At 40.9% G+C, this 25873-nt stretch overlaps 1 long non-coding RNA gene across 3 annotated transcripts in view, besides 2 other annotated features; it reads right to left on the bottom strand.

Annotated features, from left to right (window-relative positions):
• Positions 1-25873, bottom strand: part of LINC01331 (long intergenic non-protein coding RNA 1331) — a 209330-nt gene that overhangs the window by 159268 nt on the left and 24189 nt on the right. The gene's annotated exons all lie outside the window — the stretch shown is intronic.
• Positions 4002-4061: an enhancer, noted in NCBI's record as "active region_22666". NCBI's record gives its function as "activates an Ori minimal core promoter by ATAC-STARR-seq in GM12878 lymphoblastoid cells {active_cell/tissue: GM12878}" and the evidence as "EXISTENCE:reporter gene assay evidence [ECO:0000049][PMID:35858748]".
• Positions 4652-4701: an enhancer, noted in NCBI's record as "active region_22667". NCBI's record gives its function as "activates an Ori minimal core promoter by ATAC-STARR-seq in GM12878 lymphoblastoid cells {active_cell/tissue: GM12878}" and the evidence as "EXISTENCE:reporter gene assay evidence [ECO:0000049][PMID:35858748]".

The raw sequence follows: 25873 nt of genomic DNA on the forward strand, positions 1-25873 counted from the left end.
TTGAGAAAACAGCAGAAGCATGTTCTCTCTGACTTTCTTCAGCCATTCTCCCTTGCAGCTGGCCATAAAAGAATTCTCTGACTTTCCCCTAAAGTAGATCATAAGACCCTCATTATAGACAAGTTCTCCCTATACCCAGAGGAAAGGAACAAAGACATAGGGATGCAGAGAAGAATCTGAAGAAACAGGCCTTGCTAAGTTCCTCTCCATTTACTGCCATTAGATCAAACCCATTTGTCCTTCATTCATACTTCTGTATGACTGTACATAAAAATACACAGATTTCTCAGTTTCTCTGGGTCTTCATTTCTGAAGGATTCCAGAAACTCTTTCTCTCCTATACCACCCAACAGTTATCACTTGTCTCCTTAATATGGAAGGTGAGAACCATACAGTATGTTGCCCCAAAAAGTTTACCCTGCAAGTCAGCAAGGAACATACCTAAGGCCAGAAGAAGGTAAGGGTGGAAGATAAGCATTCACCTTCAACTCACATAGAGCCCTTTTTAGGTGAGAATCAAGGGTAACACCCCTCCCACCCCTTCCCCAGAGCACAGGGGTCTTTCCTTCAATGTTCTCCAAGCCTGGCTGTTCCCTCTCTGGTCCCACAGATGTTGCCAATAGATTATTTGGTTTTCTCTCTCATGTTTACAGATGTGGACAGAGTGAACATGAAGAGTAACAGATGAAAATTCATTAAATGTGTGCATATCTTAATCCATATATAATAGAATTATATGGAGCCATTCCAAGTCATGTTTTAGGCTGGGTACGGTGGCTCACACCTGTAATCCTAGCACTTTGGGAGACCAAGGAGGGCAGATTGCCTGAGCTCAGGAGTTCAAGACCACCCTGAGCAACATGGTGAAACCCCGTCTCTACTAAAATACAAAAAATTAGCTGGGCATGGTGGTGGGCACCTGTAGTCTCAGCTACTTGGGAAGCTGAGGCCTCCTGAGAATTGCTTGAACCGGGGAGGCGGAGGTTGTAGTGGACCAAGATCACACTACTGCACTACAGACTGGGCGACAGAGCAAGAGACTCTGTCTCAAAAAAATAAATAAATAAATAAATTTTTAAAAAATAAAGTCAGGTTTTAGAACAATTATCATGGAGGAAATTTCATGATATATTAAATTAAAAAATTAAGGATACAAAACAACAATCAAGACCGGAGAAATATACATAAAACACTATCACATCAAAGTGCTGCAATGACAGATAATTTCACTTTTCTATGTACTTTATTCTCCAAATTTTTATGCAAGTGTGTATTTATGCTTAAATTCAGAAAAAAGTGCTATACAAATATGAAGTATATGTGGTTATTATAAAAATTAGAATAATTACATGGAAAATTCTTAAGAGCCAATATTAAATAAAAAGAAAAGATACAAAATTATAAATATATGATGAAAATTATTTTACTATGCATAGGTTAAAAAAAAGACTAGAAGGGAAAATACCAAAATATTATTAGTAATTACCTTCAGGTGGTAGGATTATTGATCACTTTTAATATTTAAGTATTTGATATTATTCTTTATATTCCTAATTTTTTCAATGAGAAGGTGTGGCTTAAATTTTTCTTATCTTTAATCATGAATTTTTCAAGCCTCTAACAAATTTCACACATATCCACTACTCATATTTAACAGATATTAATGTTTTGTCATATTTAATTTGAGTCCCTTTAAGGAATAAAACACAAATACAGCTAAAATCTAACCCCTCCTTCATTCTTCCCCCTCCCTCTGGTTTTAGAGGTAACCATTATTCTGTAATTAAGATGTATCATTCATGGGCAGGTTTTATAACTTTTGCTACTTATATATGTATCTTTGAACCACATGATTATTTTTAAAGTACAAAGTAGTATCACTATACATGTCCTTTTGCAATTTTTTTACTTCAAGATTTAGTCATGTTAATACATTTAGATCTAATACATTTAACTACTGCATACTATTCTTATGACTATACCACAGTCTATCCATTTCTCTATCCCATTGGTCCTCAAACTCTAGCATACATCAGAAGCACCTCAAGGCCCTCACAGTACAATACTTATATGAATGTGTGTGGTTGTGTTCCAATAAAACGTTACTGTGGATACTAAAATTTGTATTTTGTAAAATTTTTACATAATATAAAACAATATTTGTCTCTGATATTTTTAAGCATTAAAAATGTAAAAACTGGCCAGGTGCAGTTGCTCACACCTATAATCCCAGCACTTTGGGAGGCTGAGGTAGGCGGATCACCTGAGGTCAGGAGTTCGAGACCAGCCTGGCCAACATGGTGAATCCCCGTCTCTATTAAAAATACAAAAATTAGCTGGACGTGGTGGCACACACCTGTAATCCCAGCTACTCAGGAGGCTGAGGCAAGATAATCATTTGAACACAGGAGGTGGAGGTTGCAGTGAGCCAAGATCGTGCCACTGCACTCCAGCCTGGGTGACACAGCAAAGCTCTGTCTCAATCAATCAATCAATAAAAATATAAAAACTATTCACAAACTGTGCAAAGAGGGATTTGGCTGGATTTGAGCCCAGGAGGCTTAATTTGCCCAGCCCCTGCTCTAGTCACCAGAGTTGGGTCAGTTCCACTGTTTTGCTGGAACAAACAGTGCTCCTTTAGCTTTTGTCATAGACCCTCAGAGTAAATACAGTCATGCGCTACATAATGACATTTTGGTCAACAACAAACCACATATAGGATGTTAGGCCTATAAAATAATACTATATTTCTACTGTAACACTGTACCTTTTCTATGTTTAGATATGTCTAGGTAAACAAATACTTACCATTGTGTAACAATTGCCTACAGTATTCAGTACAGCAACATGCTATCCAGGTTTGTAGCCTAGGAGCAATAGGCTATACCATATAGCCTAGGTGTGCAGGAGGCTATACTGTCTAGGTTTGTGTGAATACACTCTATGATGTTCACACAACCTAACCACACATTTCTCAGAATGTATCCCCATCATTAAGCAATGCATAACCATACTTAGAAGTGAAATAACTAAGTCATAGAGGATTTACTGGGTATCGCCAATTTGCTCTACAAAGGAATAGTGCAAAATCTGCCTTCTACCAACAATGAATATGAGTTTCTATTTACCTAGATCCTTGACAAACACTTGGTGTTAGCAGGCCTTTTGAAGTTTGTCTGTCTGGTGGATACGAAATGGTGTCTTACTGGTGTGTTCATTTGCATTTCCTTGGTCGTTCATGAGGTTGAGCGTCTTTGCAGTTGTTGTTCACCATTTGCCCTTCCTCTCTATGGAACTGCCCCTTTATACTTTTTCCCATTTTTAAAATTGTTGGTGTGAAATCACTCATATATTTTTGATACCTATTGTTTGTTGAATTTTAGAAATGGAAAAATTTCCCAGTCTGAGTTTTATTTTAAGTTCTATTTACAGTGCTTTGTCATGCAGAAGTTTACTAATTTTTATGTAGTCAGGTGTATAAATCTTCTTTGTTATATGTTCCTTATGTTTCATTTAAGAAATTCCTTTCTGTTCCAATGTCTTCAAATGTTAATCTTCCCTCTTTTTTCTCTAAAAGTTTCTAAGTTGTGATTTTCATATTTAGCTCTCCAATCCACTTGAACCTTATTTTTATACTGGTGAAAGGTATACTCTTTTTGGGTGGGGAGCAATATGGTTAGATAATTGTCTATGTTGATTTGTAACGCCTCCTCTGTTACAGATAAAGTTTAATGTAAATGTAAATGTAAATTTTTTTAATGGAGAAAAAACTTTGCCTAAAGTTTATCCTAGAGGCATAGATATGGGAACAAAGTTAATATGCTACAGGATAAGTAATAAATAATATGAGTTGCTGTGTTGCCGTGATACAATAGCCAAGATATGCGTCAGCAAAGCCAGAAAATGTCTGTTTGAAAGAAAAAAAAATTCAGCTACATGAGTATTTGACATGTAATTTTTTGATGATGCTGAGACAAAATTTGAGCAAAAGCTTTGTAAAAAAAAAAAAAAAAAAAAAGAACCTTCCTCCCACCCCCTGCCAAAACAAGAGATAAAGGAAAGCAAGGTGATCTCTTTAAAAACAAGTGGGGAATCACTGGACAGCTCTCTGTGTTAGTAATAGCAGACATGCAGCAAAAGCATAATCCATGAACCTGACATTGGCTACCCAAACAGAGAAGCAGAAAATCCAGTCGGGCAGACCTGGGCCGTGGCAGGCACTGAAGACTAATGGTGCTGCATGAATGGGCAGAGCTGGTGCCCCATCTGTGTGAAATCAAGAGGGAGTTTCAATTTGGCTTATTTCAGAGAGCTCAATAGGAAGTGAAAATAACAGGCCGTAATGGTCTCATGAAGAATAAAGCACCCCTATATTTCACACCACTACTGAGTTTTGCTAACATATTAGATTGAACTATATGAAATTGTCATTTCTGAAGTTAGAAAAAGAAGGTTGACTATCTTCACTTTCATATAGCTCAACCTAATATAAGAGAAGGATAGTGCTACGTTACATATTTGGGCGTCTCTTGCTCAAAAATGAGTCAATATAATGAAATTCTCCACTCAGATTCAAGGAGGGCACTCACTGGTGTGGGAATTACGGACTCTTCTCCCATATCGTTAGCAGACTGGCAACCCTGGAAGTCGAGTTTTCTCAGGCTAAAGGAGAGAAGTCCTCTGACTCAGAGACTTGGTGACTTCCCTCACCAACCCATCAGGATAACGGTATCAAGAGCATACTTCTAGGTGTTCCTTTGTCTAAAAATCTCCTCCAATGACATGAATAATGCTTTTCTCAGCAATGGCATCCTGTTCTGCTCACTCACACTCTGCAGTTAGATCACCCAGAAAATGAGATAAAACTACTGAAATCAATTAAAAGCATCTGATACACCAGACAAAGCCTCTTGGGTTGTTCAGAAAGAATCAGCAGAGCCAATGATTTCCTCCCATGACATCCAGTGAGAGCACTCTCTACAATAATGTTCTCTAGTCCAGCTCTTCCTGCTATTTCATACCAAACTTGGGGCTCAAGAGTCATATTAGTTCATCTTTCCAGCTGCCAGATGGGCAGTCAGCTTACACTTGGTCACTTTCCAGCTTCTCTAAATATATGTGTTTCTGATGTTATGCAGAATTTCTCATTCTGACACTAGGAAATCAGATTCTATTAGTGTATCAAGGAAATGTGAAGGGACCCAATGGGCTGTGAATCTCTCTGACCAAAATCCTAAAGTACATACATTAGATTAACTACAATCACTTTCAGATTTTCTTGTCTCTCTTTGTTCCCCATATTTTCAACACTTTCTCAGGCTGCTCCCTTAGGATCACAGATAATTAAATAAGAATACCCTAAATGAAAGAAATTGAATTGGAAGCTTTTAGAATTCTCTTCTCATCATCTAATTACATGAATAACATGTATGGGCAGCCTGACTCCTAGCTAATTCCCTCTCTGAATTTTTAGCTCTCATACAATTTGAACAGCAAATCCTAAAACCACAGGGTGGGTATTTTCCACTGCTTTGGTGACATACTTTTTTTTTCAAATTTTCCTGAAGTACACTTTGCCAGAAGACTGCCTTGAGGCTACCCCTGGTCCAGAGAATCTTCAAAAACCACATTGAAACAATTGTTGTTGCTCTTATCCTCTTCAGCATCTTGAGAATGTCCTTTCCCCATCTTTACATCTACAGTCTCCACAGGGAGACTATTAACTTCCCGCAGTGTCCTTTCAGCCAGCCCACGAAAAAGGCCAGGAAGAGCAACACTGTCAAGGCAGCCACATCTGCTCAATTGCACTAATCAAGATTCTGGGGCAGTATGTCATAACTCAGACTGAATGGAGCCAAATCCCATGGTCTGATGATAGAAGAACAAAGAAACTCAGGCTCTCTTACTTTACCCTCACATCACAGAATGCTTGTGTAGCCTCTGGTCTCCAAAATGTGTGGGGACTTCTCCCCTCCAAGCAATTCTCCAGCTGATCCCAGCTGGGTATCCCCTAATTTAACTCAATTCTGACACTGTCTACCTGGAGATGGTGTCAGATCCCCCAGGTTGAGGGCTCAGTCCCACAAGACTGCCCCCGACTTCAGATGCCAATCAAAAGCCCTGGGTTGTTTTACCTGAGCTTCTGAGCAACCACCTATAAATCGGGGGTTTTCATGGCTCCCTTCTTGAGTTTGATTAATTTGCTACAGCAGGTCTTAGAACTCAGGGATACACTTACTTACATTTATCATTTTATGATAAAGGATATTGCAAAAGATACAGATGAATAGCCAGATGGAAGAGACACATAAGGCGAGGTACGGGGAAGAGATGTGGAGCTTCTTTTCCCTCTCCAAGAGCACCATCCTCCAAGAACCTCCACAGATGCAACTGTCAAGAAGCTCTCCAAACCCAGTTCTTTTGGGTTTTTATGGAAGTTTCATTACACTGGCATCATTGATTAAATCATTGGCCATTGATGATCAACTTAACCTTCCACCCGTTTCCGTTTCATGGAGGTTGGGGATGGAGCTGAAAGTCCCAATGTTGTAACCACGCCTTGGTCTTTCCTGTGACCAGCCATCTAGCGGCTCCCAGCCACCAGCTCTCTAATAAGAGAGCAAAAGATACTCTATGTAAAAAATACTCCTATTATTCTGGAGATTCCAAGGATTTTAAGGTCTATGTGTCAGGAAATTGAACAAAGACCAGACATATATTTCAGAATGTCATAGTCTACCCTCTGGTTTTTTAACAGAGATCTCTTAAGTCAAAACAATACACCACTACAAAAGATGCTGGCTGGCACATTCCTATAATTCCATCCAATCATTAATAATTAGTCCAGTCCATCATCATTATACAAAAATGTCTCCCAGGATGAGGCCATCAAGTTTGTAAGATTCCTTATCACACATGGGTAGAACTGGCTTCAGACCATGAACTGGCTTCAGACATAGCTGGATTCAAAGGTCAAATGAAGTCACCAGGATTTCATCTCTCAACTTTCTCCAGTGTGGGCTTCATTCTCAGCTTCATCTAAGAGATCCTAAGAATGCAGGTCTTCTGTGTCCTAAGCCAAGCCCCAAGCTCAAGGTTTGTTGTCAGGAAACCCCAGAGCCACTCCCTGTGTGTTTCATGGCTCCCTGCTCCCTTGTGATTTTTTTCCTTCCTCAGACAGACCCACAGCAACCAGCAATATCTCCTGAAAGGATGATAGCTTCCTATCATCCATCCTATGGAAGGATGGAGGTTTTGGGTTGTGATCTCAGCTGTTAATTCTCTGTTGTGTGTTTTTGGACAATTTATTTTGCCTCTCTGGGCCTCAGTTTCCTCATCTGTAAATGTTTCTTTCTCTGTAAAGCTTCCCCAAGTGCCTGCCCCTCCATCTAGCTCTGCATCTCCTCTGAACACACCACACTCTGTACTGTACTTACTCTGACACACAAATGCTGGATTGATGGCATCTAGAGAGCAGAAATTATCTTATTTCTCCCTGTAGCCTAGAACCAGAACAAAATGTGTAAAATATTTCATTCATTGGTAGGATCAGAAGATCTCCAGGGCTCTTCTAACCTTTGAAATTAGTCATGATCCAATGATCATGACTTATCTGATTATTCCATCCCAACCTGGATTTATCCCTGATTAGCTGGACCAGCCCTCTTTGTGTCCTTCCCTTCTCTGGAGCAGCTCCCAAATCCAATCACCACCTTTGAGAATTTCCAGACTAACTAACCTCTACCCATCTCCACACCCAATTCTCATTCTCTGCATTACTCAGTATGTTCCATACAATCCCAAGTATTCCTTCCCTATGCTTGTGTACAATGAAAATGTCTCAACTGCAATGTGATCTTGCCAATATACCAGTTCCTTCATGCCTGTCTACTGCAGAACCATCTTGACTTGCAAGGTGCCAGAAATCAAAGGCTGTGGGTCCATCTAGACAGTGCCCTAAGCATATAGCTGTCTCCTACATGCGTTTAAAGATAATGAATGCTAATGACATTCAGATTGATTATGTTATTCCACAGTATGTGCTCCCACTCCAGATAAGCATGGGGGTCCATTAAAAAACTCTAATTCAGTGATTCCTCATGGGATGGGCAACTCACAAATGTATGAGGAGGAGCATATAGTTTGAAGAAACATATTCAATATGATCATATAACTTTACATATTTGGAAAATATTTTTAGAAATTATTATTATTTAAAACACGCTATAGAAAGAGCAGAGATAACATTTGAACTCAGGGTTACTCTTTTAGACCACATTGTTTCTCAATGAAAGAGGCAGCAAGTGCCACAAGCCTGGGCTGTAGCTGGTTTTGTAACTTGTCATTCAGTCTCCATGCTTCTTCTAAATGGGGAAGGGCTCTGTATAGGGCTCTGGGTAGGGGACAGGCTCTGTATAGGGCTCTGTAATGGGGAAGGGCTCTGTATCCTTGGGGACACCAGAAAAACTTTGTCCCACAGAATGAGGAGAGCAGGGCTTTCTCTCCTATAGTCACCAAAAAATTATCTAGGTGCCAAGGTTTGGCTAACACTAGTCCCACAGAAGAAGATCCCATGTCCTGTTTCCTATGTCAAGGTGCCTCCTGGGTTCTTCCCTGAAAAACGAGGTGGTTGGATGATGCCCAATGAATGCTCACAGCTCCGGGAGCTCTGCTCGTTCTGTGAGAAGCCATCAGACAGTCAACAGATACTTCTCAACACCCAATCTGAGCCAGGCATGCTCAAGACAGGGTTGCTATTTGGTTTTTCTTTAGAGTCAAGTTATTAGAGAGCTGAGTGGAGTGTCCAATGGCTTGAAATGTAGTAGGGATAACAGATTATTTGACCCCCAGTGGTAATCTGGTAATGGTTATTTTGTTTGAATCAAGAAAGTCTCATTTTTACAAATCCTGGCATTGTGTTCTCCTCTTCATGGCTGGCAGTTCACATCTCATGTCATCCTACATTATGTGTAATGATTTTTGAAGAGTGATGTAAATCATCCACTCCTCAGGGTTAGGAATCACTTTCAAGAAAAAGGCTTTAGGGTGAGATTTCACTCTTGGCAAATTTTAAAACCACTGTGGAGGCATAGAAAGCAGAAGCAAGAATAGTTTTCAGGGTAAATTAGGTTATAAATTTTGGTCAGATATAGAACTGGCCTCAATAAAGACCTTGCTAAGAAAGTTGTAAACAAAAGCAAACTGGCACATCACAGTGGTTCTGAAGAGTGGGGCAAGCCCTGAATAAATACAAAATAAAGAAGTTCTAGTATAGCTCCCCCTCTAATTACAGCAGAGTTGGTCATGGGAAACACTACTGATGGGTTTTGAGGGTTTTTTTCATTTGGTTTGGTTTGGTTTGGTTTGAGATAGTGTCTTGCTCTGTTGCCCAGACTGGACGGCAGTGGTGTGATCATAGCTCACTGCAGCCATGCCCAGCAAATTAAAAAAAATTTTTGTAGAGATGGGGCCTCCCTTTGATGCCCAGGCTGTTCTCAAACTGCTGGGCTTAAGTGATCCTCCCACCTTAGCCTCCCAAATTGCTGAGGTTACAGGTGTGAGCCACTGCGCCTGGCCTGTAAATTTTTCTAATCACTGACCCATTCACTTTCCTTCTCTTACAGCCTTCCCTACAACCCCTGCCTCCTATTTTTCCTCCATTAAAACTGTACTTTGAGGCTGCAGTTTATGGCCAGGAAGAGGGCAAAAGACATGAGAACAAATAAAGCAACCACATTTCAAAATAACAATTTTTTAAACTCATAGTAAAGACAATAATCTTGAAAACCAAAACCCTCTGATTTGCAAAACCAGGCTTTTTAACAGTAAAAGGCTTTCTGAGGTCTAAATGCTTGGATCTGAATATCAAGAGCCAAAGCCCTGAAGGAATCAGTATATAAAGGTTATCCATGAATAATGGTTTAGAAAACCATTTTCTCTCCACTGGGGAGAGGGGAGATTACAAATCTTTCTGAGTGGGAGTAGAGTGTTGAGAATGAAGCAGGACAGCAGTAGAGTTACCTGCTCTATTCCCCATGCCCCACCCCCATGCCCTGCCTCAGGTAACTTCAGTGAGGAGATCCCAGGTTCCCAGAGCAGCATGGCCTGTGCAGCAAATTTATTCCCCAGGATCCAGCGGGAAGAAGCACAGACAGCCAGTCATGTGTCTGTGGAGAGTCCTTCCCCCACAACCAGATTATAGAAAGCCAGAGAAAGGGCCACAGATGTGAAGGGGTCTCCTGACTGGAACAAGATGAATGCAGAATGTGGGGGTCTGGTAAGTGGAGGTGATGCTGTGATCTGAATGCTTGTATTGCCTCAAAATTTCTAGGTTGAAATCCTAACCCCAAGGTGATGGAATTAGAAGGTAGGGCCTCTGAGAGGTGATTAAGTCATGAGAATATAACTCTCATGACAGGGATTAAGTCCCTTAAAAAAAAAAAAAGACCCAAGGCCAGGCTCAGTGGCTCACACCTGTAATCCCAGCACTTTGGGAGGCCAAAGCAGGCACATCACCTCAGGTCAGGAGTTCAAAACTGGCCTGGCCAACATGGTGAAATGCCGTCTCTGCTAAAAATACCAAAATTAGCCGGGTGTGGTGGCAGGCGCCTGTAATCCCAGCTACTCGGGAGGCTGAGGCAGGAGAATTGCTTGAACCCAGGAGGCGAAGGTTGCAGTGAGTCAACATTGCACCACTGCACTCCAGCCTGGGTGACAACAGCGAGACTTTGTCTCAAAAAAAAAAAAAAAAGACCCAAGAGAGACCCCCTCTTCCTTCTGCCATGTAAGGACACAGCCAGCAGGAAGTCACCATCTATGAACCAGGAAGAGGGCCCTCCACAGATATCAAATTTGCTAGCACTTTGGTCTTAGACTTCCCAGCTTCCAGAACTTTAAGAAATAAATTTCTGTTGTTTATAAACCATCCACTTTGGGTGCTTACTTACAGTAGCCCCAACAGACTAAGACAGACCATGTGGACCTAGTAGCACAATCCAGAGGGATTGAGGCCAATAGCCTTTAAAGACCAGAGGGCCGAAAACACCTTGCAGAGTGCCAACCCTGGGCCAGAGAACCAGAGGATTCCCCAAACCCATTCCGCAAGTGCCACCAACCCCTCCCCATCTGTGAACTTAGATGCCACCCCTAAGAAAGGGAGGAGAGCAGAACCCTGCAAATGACTAAATCTAGGCAGGAAATGACTGGGTCATCACTACGTGGACTGTTTCCCTTGAGTTTGGAAGATTACATTTTCAGCTACCAAGGAGAATGGAGTGCCACGGTAAAGATTAAGTTCAACTGTTTGTGAATTCTGATGCATTATTTAACTATTAATTAAGCCATCAAAAATTTTGGAATTTATATGTTCAATAAATGTATGGAATTTATATGTAATAATAAATAGGTCTAGAAAAAGAATGTGGGTCAGGGGGAATTATCTATAGTATCATTCTTTTCTAACTTCAGCAACACAACAATAATACAAACCACTGTAATATTAGAAAGCTTCTCAGAAACTTATAGTTCATCACTGAATACATGTCACTCTTTAAATTTTCCTAGAATTAAAAGGTTCTATTCCAGTAGTTTACCTGAATTATATAATTATCTATAAAACTTCAAAGAAAATGAGGCTGAGCTTTTCAAAATGCAGATCTGATCATGTCACTTTTTCCCAACATCCATCTCTGGAGAGAGGGAACTGGTCTACTTTGCTCACCATGGTGATGCCAGAACTGAGCACATAGTGGGCCTTCATTTGTTGAATAAATGTAGAAATGAATGAATTAATATGATCAGGCTAGTGAACTCTTAAACCTCCTACCTTTGACATTCTGCAGCTACATGACTTGCATCTACTTTCCCACATAAAAGATGACAAAGAATCCCTTGAATTTCAGAGTTTAAACTGACGAATATATGCAGTAATGTAGAAATAGTTTTAATATGTTTCTATTTCATCACACATTTATGCATATATATTAATTGAGCTTATTTAATACAGTTCTTGATCCCTGAAACTTAATTAACAAAGGCATTAAGTTATTGAAAACACGAACATTGTCACCTCTGGTGTAAATGTTAGAGTAGAATCAGGTATTGTTCTTTCATGTTGCAATTAAAATTTAAATTAATATATAGACCTGGCTATGTTTTGTTTCTTAACAAAAATATATAAGGAAATGACATTCTATTAAAATACACTATTACAAAAGAAAAATCTATAGAGGAATTAATTTATGTCCATGACAAAGTCTTTTCTCTGAAAAGAGTAGCAAAAAACATAAGCTTTGGGTTTTTATCACCTGATCCTTTGTTCATATCTGCACACTTTGTTGCACACATAAACAATTTTGTAGATTTATGGCTATCTATATAAACACCTTTTACTCTAGCAGTTCCCACATTTTCAGCAATTACAGAAATTTAGGATTCTCAATTCTCCATAAAATATGAGCAAAAACACTGCAAATTCCTGTTCCCCGTCCACCAAAATCTCTCACACAGTAATTAAAGTCCTTATCAGCATCACCGCGTGCTACATAACAATCTAGTCTTCCTAAAAGTAAATTCACAAGGGGGAAATTCCTCTTGATGATAAGCAAACAGCAATTATTATTCCCTGTTATTAAAATGCTCTCAGTTAATTGTACAGATACCAGCAGAAAGATTACCTTAAAAGGCTGGATAGCAAAAGGGAGTTAGAGTTTTGAACCTTCTGGTCTAATTTAGACGAGAGTTTACAGAGAGATTCAGTAAATATTTGTAAGGAACCATTAACATTGAGTAAACAATTCAATGCCTGCAAGGAAAAATGTATTTGAATAATTGTAAAAGAACCTCCCTCCATACATGCTGGAAATGAATTATTTTAAAATGAAAATAGCTCAAATACATTAACAGAAAAATACTACCAGTCACATTTTCTAAGCATTCTTTATTGTATACACAGTTGATCATCCTGGACTGTATAAGAGGCACATGTTCGAAAAAAAAAAAAAAAAAGAAGAAGAACAAGCTGCTGTTTTCACTCCAGGGATTATTTTACAGGGAACTCAGCAGGCTCAGCCCTTCCTTAGCATTTTTTTCTGTTTCTGTCCCAACAGAAATGAGATTTTAGTGTTTGTCTTTTGTGCTGCTAACACTGAGCTTGCCAAGGTATCCCTGTTTGATGCTCTACTTCCATTGATGGAGCGAGGGAGGAAAGAGCAAGTAAATGAGGAAGCTCTGAGATTTCTCTTCCCCTCCAAATGGCAGAGATAAATCTAGCCAGTGAACATGAAGGCGCCCTGGCTCAATTAAAAACCAACTTTGATAAAATATTTTGTTTAAAGAGAAAAATAGTCTCTCCAGTGAAAACTGTTTAGGGCAGCTGTGCAGGGGAAGCAGGTGTTGAGTCTACCCTGAGGGCTTCAGAAATATTAATATTTAAACCTCTCACATTTCACTAAAGTTCACGACAGCTTCCTAATGCCTGGAGGAAGACAGAGCAGGAAAATCACAAGCCACAAAGTGGGGAATGCCTTCTAATTTGGCCAGAGCAGGGCCTGATTGTCTGTCTCCCTGACTCAGCCTCTCTGATTTGCTGCAAGCTCACAAAGACCATGCATTAGAATTTCAAAGCTGGCTCCATCCTCCACACGCTGTAAAGACATAACATGTCATCAAAACACAGGGTTTTCCAGGCCGTGATTTGTTTGTCTAGACTCTGGCCATTGAACTCTGTTTATTACTAAACAGAGTTTAGTGTGGAATGGGCAACAAATCAAAGGGGGCTCTGAGAGCCCTGAGTGCATGCAGACACTCTTCCTTCTCAGTTTCCACTGCTCTTAGAGGTCTATCTTTCCCAGGACCCAGGGGCTGATCACTAGACTAACGTTTCATCTTTTTTTGACCTGGGACATGACCCTGGGCCATTTGTAACCCTCAGATCCCCTCCCCATCATTGTGCAAGTAGGCAGCCCTTAATAATTATATTCTGGCGGCTGCATGGAGAGGTCATGAAGAATGACTAATGATTAACATTTGAAAATGGAACATGATAGGAAAATACCACCAATCACGGCAAAACCGTCTGTCAGAAGAGCAGAGGGCAACGACAACAAAACACTATTCAAAGAATATCCTCTTCCAAGATGAGAATGTGCCATTCAGAAGAAGTCTTCAGGTTTGTTTTTCAAAAGACACATAATTATCAGATACGTTGTTATCATTTTTAATGCATAATTGTTAGCCTACTTGTTAATGAATATATATTTCCTACTTTAAAAGACTTGATGTAGAGGATAAAATGGAGATTCACAGCTCTTTTTAGAAAATAGTGCACAACTTGATTCTTTTAAAGAAAAAGCATCTCTGTTGCCTATAAAAATATAATTGCTTTGTACAAAAATAAATTATCTCAGGCAGCATTTCTGAAACACATCGATTACATTAAGAAAGACCTATGAGCTAAGAGAAGGCTTGTAAGTTCAGAGGCTAAGGATGGAGGTCTCTAAATGAAAAGGCTTAGGTACCAACTCCCTATGAACCTTACATTAACAGAGGCCTCTGGTTCAGTTTTAGCCCTTAGAAAAAACTGCAAGTGAAGTCAGTTACCCTAATATTATCATCCCTGTCAAATGCTCCTCGGTTAAGGAAATTGTAAACAACTGTATCCTTTATGTCTTGGAATAAGATTCCATTTACCCAGCTGGAGTGGCAACACCCCACTAGGTCAGGCACTGTGGGCCTTTTGCCTGTGATTCCATCCTCCCCACACCTCCACCTCACCAGGTAGGTGTCTATCCGTGCAGAAATGATGGCTGAATTAAATTGAATAAATGTTAGAACTCCAAAACAAAACAACATATTATCTAAATGGGCACAAGCTATCTAATCTGTGTTTCACTTCTGCTGCCAGAAATGGAAAGCTATCACTCCAAAGGCATGTTAAGCAAAACAAAATAATACTTCCAAAGAAGGTCTAGCTTCTGTTCTGTGACAATTTGGTGATCATTCATCAGATGGACAAAAAAGCCAAAAGGGTCAAACCAACCAGAACTTAAAACGATGGTCAGGAACTTCTGACCTATCCTTTGTGGCAGTTTCAAGGAGCCCAGTAGAAGATTTGGCCCCAGCTAGTCACTATGATCTCTCTACCTGCACCCACGGGCTAGGACTAGAGACCCATCTCATCCCAGAGGTGTCAATCATAGGCCTATACACACTCTGCACAGTTCTAAGGAAATTTAGGTGAAAGGAGTGGGGAAAGAATCAACCTAGATGTTCCTGGGGCCCATCCTGACCAAGGCCCTTGGTATGGCTTCAAACCCCCAAAATGACAAAGAGGACCTCATGTTTGCTGCCCCAACAAACCTGATGTAATTTCACAATAGATCCAGTTCCATTAACAGAGGCCTCTGGCTCAGTTTTAGCCCTTAGAAAAAACTGCAGGTGAAGTCAGTTACCCTAATATTATCATCCCTGTCAAATGCTCCTCGGTTAAGGAAATTGTAAACAACTGTATCCTTTATATCTTGGAATAAGATTCCATTTACCCAGCTGGAGCGGCAACACCCCTCTAGGTCAGGCACTGTGGGCCTTCTGCCTGTGATTCCATCCTCCCCGCACCTCCAGCTCACCAGGTAGGTGTCTATCCATGCAGAAATGGTGGCTGAATTAAATTGAATAAATGTTAGAACTCCAAAACAAAACAAAAACCAAATAGTCATTTTCATCCACATTCACACATCAAGTGTTTTTCTTTAAAGGCTGAAGGGGATAGCAGGTGAAAGTAGAAAGAGCAGACGGTATGAGAAAACACCCCTCACCCAACCAACTTGGTCATTGATTTTTTTAAAAAAGGAGTCTTTATCTTTACACAGAAGGTAGAAGTTATAATTTAACTCTCAAGTTAACTATAGGTCCCCTTGCCTTTCAAGTCATATGAACACAAAAGGCTTTAATGATTTTTTAACTAAAGAAGGAAAAAACATACCATATGAAAATCACTTCTCCCCCCTAACACGAATACACTGGCCACTCAAAGATAGGTCTGTGAGATCCTTATCCACAGGATCTATTAATAAGAGCAGCACAGGAAACTCGGCACAATCACAATCCAAAGTTTAGTTTGACAAACACAGGAAGGCCACTGGCTTAAGAGTCTCTGCATATGCAGTTAAAACCTCATTTGAACACCTGCATAATCATTTCCCTCCTAAAAAAAAAAAAGGAGAGTGGATTTTTACTTGTAAGTTCTCAGTTTTAAGTAGACCAAATCTAACGAACATCTTTTTCCACCACAGTGAAGAAAAGAAAAAGGAAATTCCATGGTCTCCAGTAACAAGTTTGCAGAAACACAAAATCATTTTTACAAGACACTTATCTCTCAAGACTATTCACATACACAAGAGGGGAATTTTTACAGGCTAATGTGACATAAAATTTGTATATAAAATCATCCCTTAATGCCCCAGAGGACTTACTCCTTTACAAAATCCTTTAAAAAAAGAAGACAATGATCATCTCTGGGTTATGAGATTATGAGTACTTTTTATTGTTCTTTTTCACTTATTTTCAAGCTTTTATACCAAGTTCAATTTTTGCCTTTAAAATCAGAAAAAAAAATAATTAATTCTTATGGTAGAATTCGAGATGAAGAATCTCTCTGAGGGCTGTCAGCCTTTGTGTTAATTTTTTTTTTTTTTTTTTTTTTAAACAGGGTCTCACTCTGCCACCCAGGCTGGAGTGCAGCGGTGCCATCTCAATGTAACTTCCATCCCCTAGGGTTCAAGCAAATCTCCCGCCTCAGCCTCGTGAGTAGCTGGGATTACAAGTGCACACCACCACGCCTGGCTAATTTTTATTTATTTTTATTTTACTTTATATTTTATTTTATTTTATTTTATTTTATTATTTTATTTTATTTTATTTTATTTTATTTTATTATTTTATTTTATTTTATTTTATTTTACTGAGACGGAGTCTTGCTCTGCCGCCCAGGCTGGAGTGCAGTGGCGCGATCTCGGTTCACTGCAAGCTCCGCCTCCCGGGTTCACGCCATTCTTCTGCCTCAGCCTCCCAAGTAGCTGGGACTACAGGCGCCCGCTACCACGCCCGGCTAATTTTTTGTATATTTAGTAGAGACGGGATTTCACCGCGTTAGCCAGGATGGTTTCGAAATCCTGACCTCGTGATCTGCCCATCTCGACCTCCCAAAGTGCTGGGATTACAGGCGTGAGCCACCGCGCCCAGCCACGCCTGGCTAATTTTTGTAATTTTTGGTAGAGACGGGGTTTCAACCATGTTGGCCAGGTCGGTCTTAAACTCCTGACCTCCAGTGATCTGCCTGCCTCAGCCTCCCAAAGTGCTGGGATTACAGGCATGAGGCACTACACCTGGCCCATTAGCATGGATGTTTAAGAGGCAATACCTCCGGGCAGACACATCCCCCAGATGAAGACTGGATTTAGCTCCAGTCACCCCTCTGGAGTGCACAGTCCTAGCTTAGTCCCGATTGTCCATCTTTCTGTGATCCAGATTTCTATGATATCCAGTTGTGCTTACATGTTCATTTGCACTTGTGTGTGACTATGGGACCAAAGTCCTCAATCTTCACACACTGACCAGGAATTTGATTCCTGGCACTGTGAAATCCAAACTGGCCCTGACGTTTTACTCAAAAATCCTTTCTAAAGAAGCCATGACAGACAGTTATATCTTGAGACCCAGAGCAATTTTACTTACATGTCGGCATGAAGGAACAACAAGGGCCTCACTAAAAAGTAAGGGTATGCCAATATGAACAAATAAAAAGGCCTGGCTTCATGTCCCCTGTCTGCATGTGCAACTTAATCAAGATGGATCTTTACTCACTGCAGTTCTGGGGCTTCATCAACCTCAACATCCCGTTCTATTTACTTTTACTTTCAAAATAATGCCCCTGACCACTGCCATCCCCACAACTCTGACACCTTCCTAAGTGGATGTACAGGTCTTCATAGCTGTGGACGACACAGTCACTTCTAGTCTTCACTCCAAGACACACAACAGGTTCCCTGTAGAGATGCAATGTGTTCCTGAGTATCAGAGCGTTCTGCCACCCACTCAAATCTGGATTGTGCACTCACAGCCCTCACCCTTCCCAAGTTGGCCAAACCTCCCAGATAGCAGATAGAGGCTGTGAGAAGTAAAACAGTCATCTACATCAACAAAAGGGCGTCAAAGTGACATATATGGACCAAAGAGGGAGGGAAGGAAGAAAGGAATCGCCACCTAGCCAGGCAAATGAACAGGGGTAAGTCTGGCCATCAGAACTAGCTACACAATTTTGGGGGCCCATTGCAAAATGAAAATGCAAGCCCCTTTTTTCAAAAAGTATTAAGAATTTCAAGACACCCGCAGCAAAGCATTAAACCAGATATGGGCTGCTTTCAAGGATGGGGCCATGGGTTACTACACAGGTCACATGCCCATGAAGCCTGTCCTGCTGGCTGTCAGTGGTAAAGTCACTGGCTTCCATGTCCAAATTAGCAGCAGTCAAATGGGCTAGAGAGGACAGTAGTGAAATAAATAAATTAAATAATCCATTAAGGGGTCAAAAGCTATGTGTCCTAGGTCAGCTTCTTGTTTATAGATAGCTCTACACATTTTTCAAAATATTTTTCTATTTTTTATCTGGAAAATGGAGCATCAGTAGTTACAACATCACAGTGATAGGACTCAAATTGGCAGCTCCTGATCCTGCAAGTAATGAGAATGTTAAATATACCATCTAGCCAATCATGGAGGGCAGTTTTCATTGTAACAGAACTGGATGGAATTCAAATCACTTTGGCAAGAAAACCCAAAGCCATAATTTTCTCCCATGGCGTACTCAAATTCAGGTAGAAGTTAGTTATGAATGAAATTTCCCTTTATCTGGGCTGCCAAAGACAGCACTGCAGGCCTTCACTTCCTGGAAAACCCTAAACCAAGCTGGGTTCATGCTCCCACCCAGATCAGCCTTTCCTCAAGGGCCCCAGGAGCGCCTCATCCCAGCCTTTCTGGGAATTCTCCAGGTTCTGACATTCCCGTAATTCCTCCCCAGGTCTCGGCAGGGATCCCAACGTTTAAACTTATGTACGTATTTTAAAACCAATTATTTTCTCTTTATGCTCAAAAAGTGGTTGGAGCTGAATTTTTGACAAAATTCGTAGGATTTAAGATATCTCCAAGCTAGATTCTTCATCCTTAATAAACAGTTAAAGAAAAGAAATGTCCAGGCACTAACTCCACAGCATGCCAAGGCCAGAAACTGCTCTGCAATGTAAATCGCTTTTTAAGGAGAAAAGAGAAAACATCACAATTCTAAAACCGGCACTAAAAAAGTTATGCTGGGGTGGATGAATGGTTTGTGGAGCTGTAAAAACATACTTAGGTCTTGTATGAACATATCCTTGAATTTCAAACATATGAGCCACATCATTATTAATAGCCTGGTATATACACTGCCCAGTTTTACCCGCTCATACATCGACCCCACATACACTCACAGTTCCTCCCCTGGGGGGCTGAGCAAACACATAAAATTCGTAGGGCCTGTGGCTAACACTTCTTTATTTTGAATAGCCGTATTTCACATGGAGAAGGCAGGGCGGGAGAGCTAAGATTTATTGACAGCCTACTGTGTGCTAAGCCCTGTGTCAAGTGCTTTCATAAAGGTTAGCTCATCTTTTCTTCCAAGGGAAGCCCCGATTGAAAGATGAATGACCTTATGAAGGTCACACAGCCGATCCATTGGAGAGATAGCATTCAATCTCACTTCACCGGCCCCAAAGCCTTCTTCTTTCCACTCCAGCACAGCGCAGTTCTGATGCTTCATGAGCCAGCAGCAGGTTCAGTAGCTGAGCTGAGGACACAGTGGGGCAGCGCCCAGCTAACTGTTGAAGAAAGGGACAACTGTGGTGTCCAGGGGGTCACAGCTTGTCCTCCCTCCCCACCGGAAGGAGTCCAGCCCTGCAGATAGAGCACAGGCACTGGAGGCTGTAATAGTAAGAATAGTCCAGTAAAGCAGCTGGACAGAGAATCAGGGTGTCCGGACTGGCGAGCAGAGCCCAGCCTAGAGGATGCAGAAGTGGGTGCCATGCAGACAGCCGCATGGTCAGGTAAGCTGTGGCTGGGCAATCTCTGCAGAGCAGAGGCCCCACCAGCCACAGCAGCCTACCAGTCAGTGACTAACAGTTGGGTGCACACAACGAGAAGTGGTATATCCCAGGCTAACACCTCGCTGCCTGGTTCAAATGCTGGTTCTACCCTCTGTAAGCTGGATCACCTTGACCAAGTGACTTAAAGTCTCTGCCTCAGTGTCCAATACCGAACAGAGAGGTTTTGCAGATTCAAAGGAATGAATACATATAAAGCACTCGGAGCAGATGCGGGAACATAGACAGTGGGTGGTCATTGTTAGATATTACTATGTACCAAGAATGTTCTGAAGCAGGCCTGGGACCCCATTAATTTATTTCGACTCCAAAGAGGCAGAGTCCTTTGTGAGAAGCCTTGGAGCCCCAACAGTAGCCCCATATCCAGCAACCCCTCACACAAACAGTCCCAGCTCTGAGAGGGAAGAAGACAATCTGCTTTAAGACCCAGGCAATCTGCTTTAAGCTCCGTGGGCAGCAGCGTACAGATAGTGTGTGATAGCCCACATTTCATTTGACAAGACTCCCAATCCCTTCTCTAGGGCTCAACACAAAGAATGGGCACTATCATGGCAGAAGAGGATCCCTTTCCCTCATCTGGTGCTTCTGAGAAAAGCCATTAAGTTGCTGGAGCTGAAAATATTTGCAAATTCCAGGAGAGTGTTTCCAAAGGAGTACCACGCATTCCCCTTTGCGATTGTAATAAAATGCTTGGATGCTGCCATGGGAATTGCCATCCCCCAAGCCAGTCCTTGGAGCTCCCCAAAGGGAGGGCCACCCTTCTAACCAGAACTTTCCCAGCATGGAGCCTATCAGCATTTTCATCAACTAGAGAACTGGTGTTCCTTTAAGCCGAATCACAGAGATTAATGTTTCAATTTGCAGCTGCTTAATGGTGTTCTGTGGAGCCTCTCCCTTCTGTCATTTGCCCCCCGGTTGGCCTGAGGATTTGCAGTTAATGGGGCAGCTAGGGAAGCCTTTCATTTCCCCTTGACTGGGTGTGTTAAAACGCTGATCTGTTTCTCGATCAGGTCTCTATGTCTTAATCTCAGTCTTGCCCTGATGGAATGTTCCCCTTCATGCTTTACCAAAGCCAGGTATTGAATATCTAGAAACTGATAGCTTTGGCAAATGCCCTGCTTGCTTCTTCCAAGAAACCAGTCCCTAAGGGGGTAGATATCTAAAGTAAGCTTAAAACAAGAACATGCTTACCCCTGCTTACCAATATGATTGCTATCTTTTGCAGTACTGATAGCTCCGTTTGCACCTTTGCTAGGGACATAAGATTAGACAAGAAATGGTTTTGTTTTGCTTGTTAGTTTCTCCCGAAGCCTCCTTCCCCACCTCCCCAACCCATCACTTTACACTTCTGTTCACTCTCTGTGCACTCTGTTTACTGAGACTCCTTTCATACGTTTTGTCTTTTTCAGTAAAACCTTTTTTCAGTGACATAATTATATGTTTGTATCTGAGTCTACCAAACAGAATCCAGAAAATCCAGTACAAAGAGCCTGGAAGTCTGCTCCCTAAGTGCTGGCCTTCTTGCCCAGTGACCTAGCCCACAGAACCAAGGCATCTTTGCTTAGGGCCTGCCCCTGGCCCTGAAGCTCCCTCATATGAGGGAAAGCTAACTGACTCTGGAGTCTCCTCACAGCCATTTGCTGCATTGGAAGGCGGTGGGATTCTCCAACTAGGCAGGGGGACCAAACAGAATGCTCCCAGCCAGGGACTTCCCACCACTTCTGCTGAGAGATTTCAGCTGGCGTCGCTCAGAGGGGCTGGAACAATTTGGCTGTCCACAATTTTCGTATTCTTTTTGGTGAATATGGTTGTCTCCCGGGATTTTAGATGGTGAAGGCAATAGGACTCCTCCCTCACACCTCATTCCTAGAGCCTATATGTTAGGCTATGGTTTGCATATTTGTCCCCTGCAAAACTTATGTTAAAATTTAATCCCCTATGTGACAATATTAAGAAGCAGGGCCTTAAGAGGTGATTGGGTCATGAGGGCCCTGCCTTTATGAGTGGATGAATCCATTCATGGATTCATGGGTAAATAGCTTATCATGGGAGTGGGACTGGTGGCTTTGTAAGAAGAGGAAGAGAAACCTGAACAAAGATGCTCAGCCCCCTCACTATGTGATACCTGCACCACCTCAGGACTCTGCAGAGAGTCCCCACCAGCAAGAAGGCTCTCACCAGGTGTCCCTCCTTGACCTTGGACTTCCCAGCCTCCAGAACAGTAAGAAATAAATTTCATTCCTTATAAATTACACAATTTCAAGGTATTCTGTTATAAACAACAGAAAATGGACCTAGAGACAATTCTCCATGATTCCCTCACTTTCTGCATGTCTTGTTAGCAAGACATTGACTGCCTTTGTTCTGGACTACCTTTTCAAAAGTGTTTGTATAGTGAATAATCTTGGAAGACAGAGTGTCTCTCTCCAGAGTTTGCTTCCCATTATAAGATATATAAGATCCCGTTTCCCTCAATGAAGGGGTCATCTCCTGTAACATAATCCACTCCATGTATTGGTGTCACCTGGCCTTCCCATCACACTTTGGGGATTGAGGCTTGAGGAACTGGGACAAAAATGCTAATACTCTGGCTACTGCTTTTGCTGTGAGGGATAAACTGTCCTTCATCTCTGACTGAAGAGTCTCATGTCTTCTACCAACATCCATGAAACTATGGCAGACCACCTTGTTAACTTGTAAGTAGGGCTAAGTCTCAGACCATTCACAGTTCTTGACAATATATTATAATAACAACAAGTATCAAGCTACCTTTCAGCACACATGTAAACATTTATTAACAAACAGGCCAAAAAAGTCATGTAATCTGTTCTTTTAATGGGTGAGCTCCTGCTTCTCTGTCCTTTAAGCATGTCAGCAAACACTTTCCATGAAAAGTTTACCTGAGGTAGATGTGGCCATATTCTAGTGGCAAGATTAAGCTAATATTCTATTTGGATTAGGTGACAGAAGCATCTATCAAGTGGCAGAACACTGGACTAGACTGAAGCTCTAAACCAAGTATCCCACCACTCCAAAGGGTATTAGGCTTTTGGACTTACCAGAGTCTTGTCTTCTGTTCATGCAATTGAATATTTCTACTCAATGCACATAAATAGAATGTCATTCAGCTCCCCAATAAAAAATTTCTAGCATCCCTTATAAGAATTAACAAATTCTCTAAGGCAGATCTAGATGGGCCTATTTAAAGTCTACTTATGGTAATGGCCTCTGGGTATGAATTCCAAATTAGGGTCTTTCAAATGCTCACTTACTACCCTAGAGTATGAATCCCTGATTAGGAGGTAACTTCAAATGTTTGATCTATCCTAGTTTATTATAAGCAGCAAATCATGCTTGGTTCACACTGTCTATTCTGAAGTATGTTCAATTACAACACTTTAATGGAAGCATTTTGTTTTTTAAAGATACAGCTTCTAGGACACAACTCTTCCCTCTTTCCCTTCTCTTGGGCTTTCTCCATTATAGGAAAAAAACAGTTGGTTAGTCGGCACTTTTTGGCTTGCAGAGCCAAGGGTCTTTGGCACAAATGGCCTCCGATGAGTGCCAGGTACAGTCTCATGTTATTCAGTTGATTTATACCCTTAAGCCCAGTTTAAAACCCTAATAACTCTCTTTCTCCTCCCTTCAAGTTACCTAGCTCATTTGCTAGCCCTTGTCATATGGCAGCCTCCTAGTACACTACCGGGCAGGCTATCCCAGGGTCATGGAATAGAAAGAGTCACAGACTCACATATTTGCAATAAGATGCTGATATTGCACAATGTATTAAATTTATTTAAAACACATGGCAAGATGTAAGGGGAACTAGACAGGCTAGGTTAACACACTTAGGGTAAGGTAAATATAAGCCAACTGGGAGGACCACACTGCCTGATTCCTACTTACACAATTGTTCATATGCCTTGTCTCTTTCTCCTCCACATGAGCCTCCTCTGCTACTGATGTGGTTATAAGGACCCAAAATGAGGTTTAAAAAAAGAGGCCCAGCAAATGTAATGTGCTTGGAGCTAAGATGTGCTCATACTCCACAGAGATCTGAGGGCAAGTAAAGCTGGCTATAGCTGTAACTTGCCAAACAGCCTGCTGAGCAACTATAGATTTTTATTTGCATTTTTGGGGTCAAGTACATATGGGCCCATAGTGGGTATAATGGATGTTCCTATTAGGTGCCAATTTAGGGATGGCATAGCTGTCATCCCAGAAGTGACCAAATCATATGATTTAATCTTTCTGTTTCTTCTTTATCTAAAAGTATTCATCTTATTTGTTCCATTATATATTCCATTCCATTCTTAACACATCTTTCAGGTTACCCACTACCTATATTTAACATATACCCACTACCTATATTTTGCCCACATTGCACAGTCTGCTTGCTTCTTCTTTATCTGCATGCCTAACACAGCTAGTGAGTTTTGCCTATATCACATGAGCTACTTGCTTACACAGCAATGTGTGCTTAACACATCTTATGAGTTTCAAACATCCTGTTTATTTTTCTTGTATTTTTTGAATATTCTCAATAATATAACCAATAACCAGCACAGATATCCTAAATGAAAATGTAGACTATAAAATGGTGCATATAATGATTGCAAGTACATAAGAATATGAATGTACATGAATAATAATTGGAAGATAATACATAAAAATAAAAAAATATGCTGGGGTAGTGGGGTCATGAGTAACTTTTGTTTTCAAAACTTCCTTTGACATCGTTTGTATAATGTGTCCTTTTTTAACTTTTATTTTAAATTCAGGGGTATGTGTGCAGGTTAGTTATATAGGCAAACTTGCATCATGGGGAGTTGTTGTACAAAATATTTCGTCACCCAGGTATTAAGCCTAGTACCCATGAGTTATTTTTCCTGATCCTCTCCCTCCTCCCACCTTCCATCCTCTGATAGGCCCCAGTGTGTGTTGTTCCCTTCTATGTGTCCATGTGTTCTCATCATTTAACTCCCACTTATAAGTGAGAACATGTGGTATTAGGTTTCCTGTTGCTGCATTAGTTTGCTAAAGATAATAACCTCCAGCTCCATCCATGTTTCTTCAAAGGACATGATCTTCTTTTTTTTGTGGTTGCATAGTACTTCATGGTGTTATTGTACCACATTTTCTTTATCTGGTCTATCATTGCCATTTAGGTTGATTCCATGTCTTTACTATTGAGAATAGCGCTGTGATGGACATACACACGCATGTGTCTCTATGACAGAATATTTTCAGTAACATTCATTATTTGTAAATAGGCTAAGATTCCATATAATCTATATATAATACTCCCTTCTGACTAAGCATGCAAATGAGGAGTATTTAACTGCAAAACCTATCTCAAGTTTAAGGAATTTGAAGAAGTAAATTGAACTCTTAAGGAAGAGTTTGGACTCTGAACCATTTATTTGTATCTCGAAGAAAAGGCTTTAATGATACAGGCTATTTACATATTTTACAGCACAATTTTTAGGCAATAGATTTAGCCATAATTTTTTATTTCATTTAAAAATAACTACTGAATACAACCCATCTGGCAATATTTTCTCTTCCTATTTATAAGCCCATTTGAAGTTTCAAGGTAATACAGAAAAAATCAAAATTATTTATGTGTTTTTGAGTAGAAATTTCCCCTTTGCTTGATTGACTACAGCAAAAACTAAGACTATGGC

Source organism: Homo sapiens, chromosome 5, assembly GCF_000001405.40.
Source record: "Homo sapiens chromosome 5, GRCh38.p14 Primary Assembly".
Taxonomy (NCBI): Eukaryota; Metazoa; Chordata; class Mammalia; order Primates; family Hominidae; genus Homo; species Homo sapiens.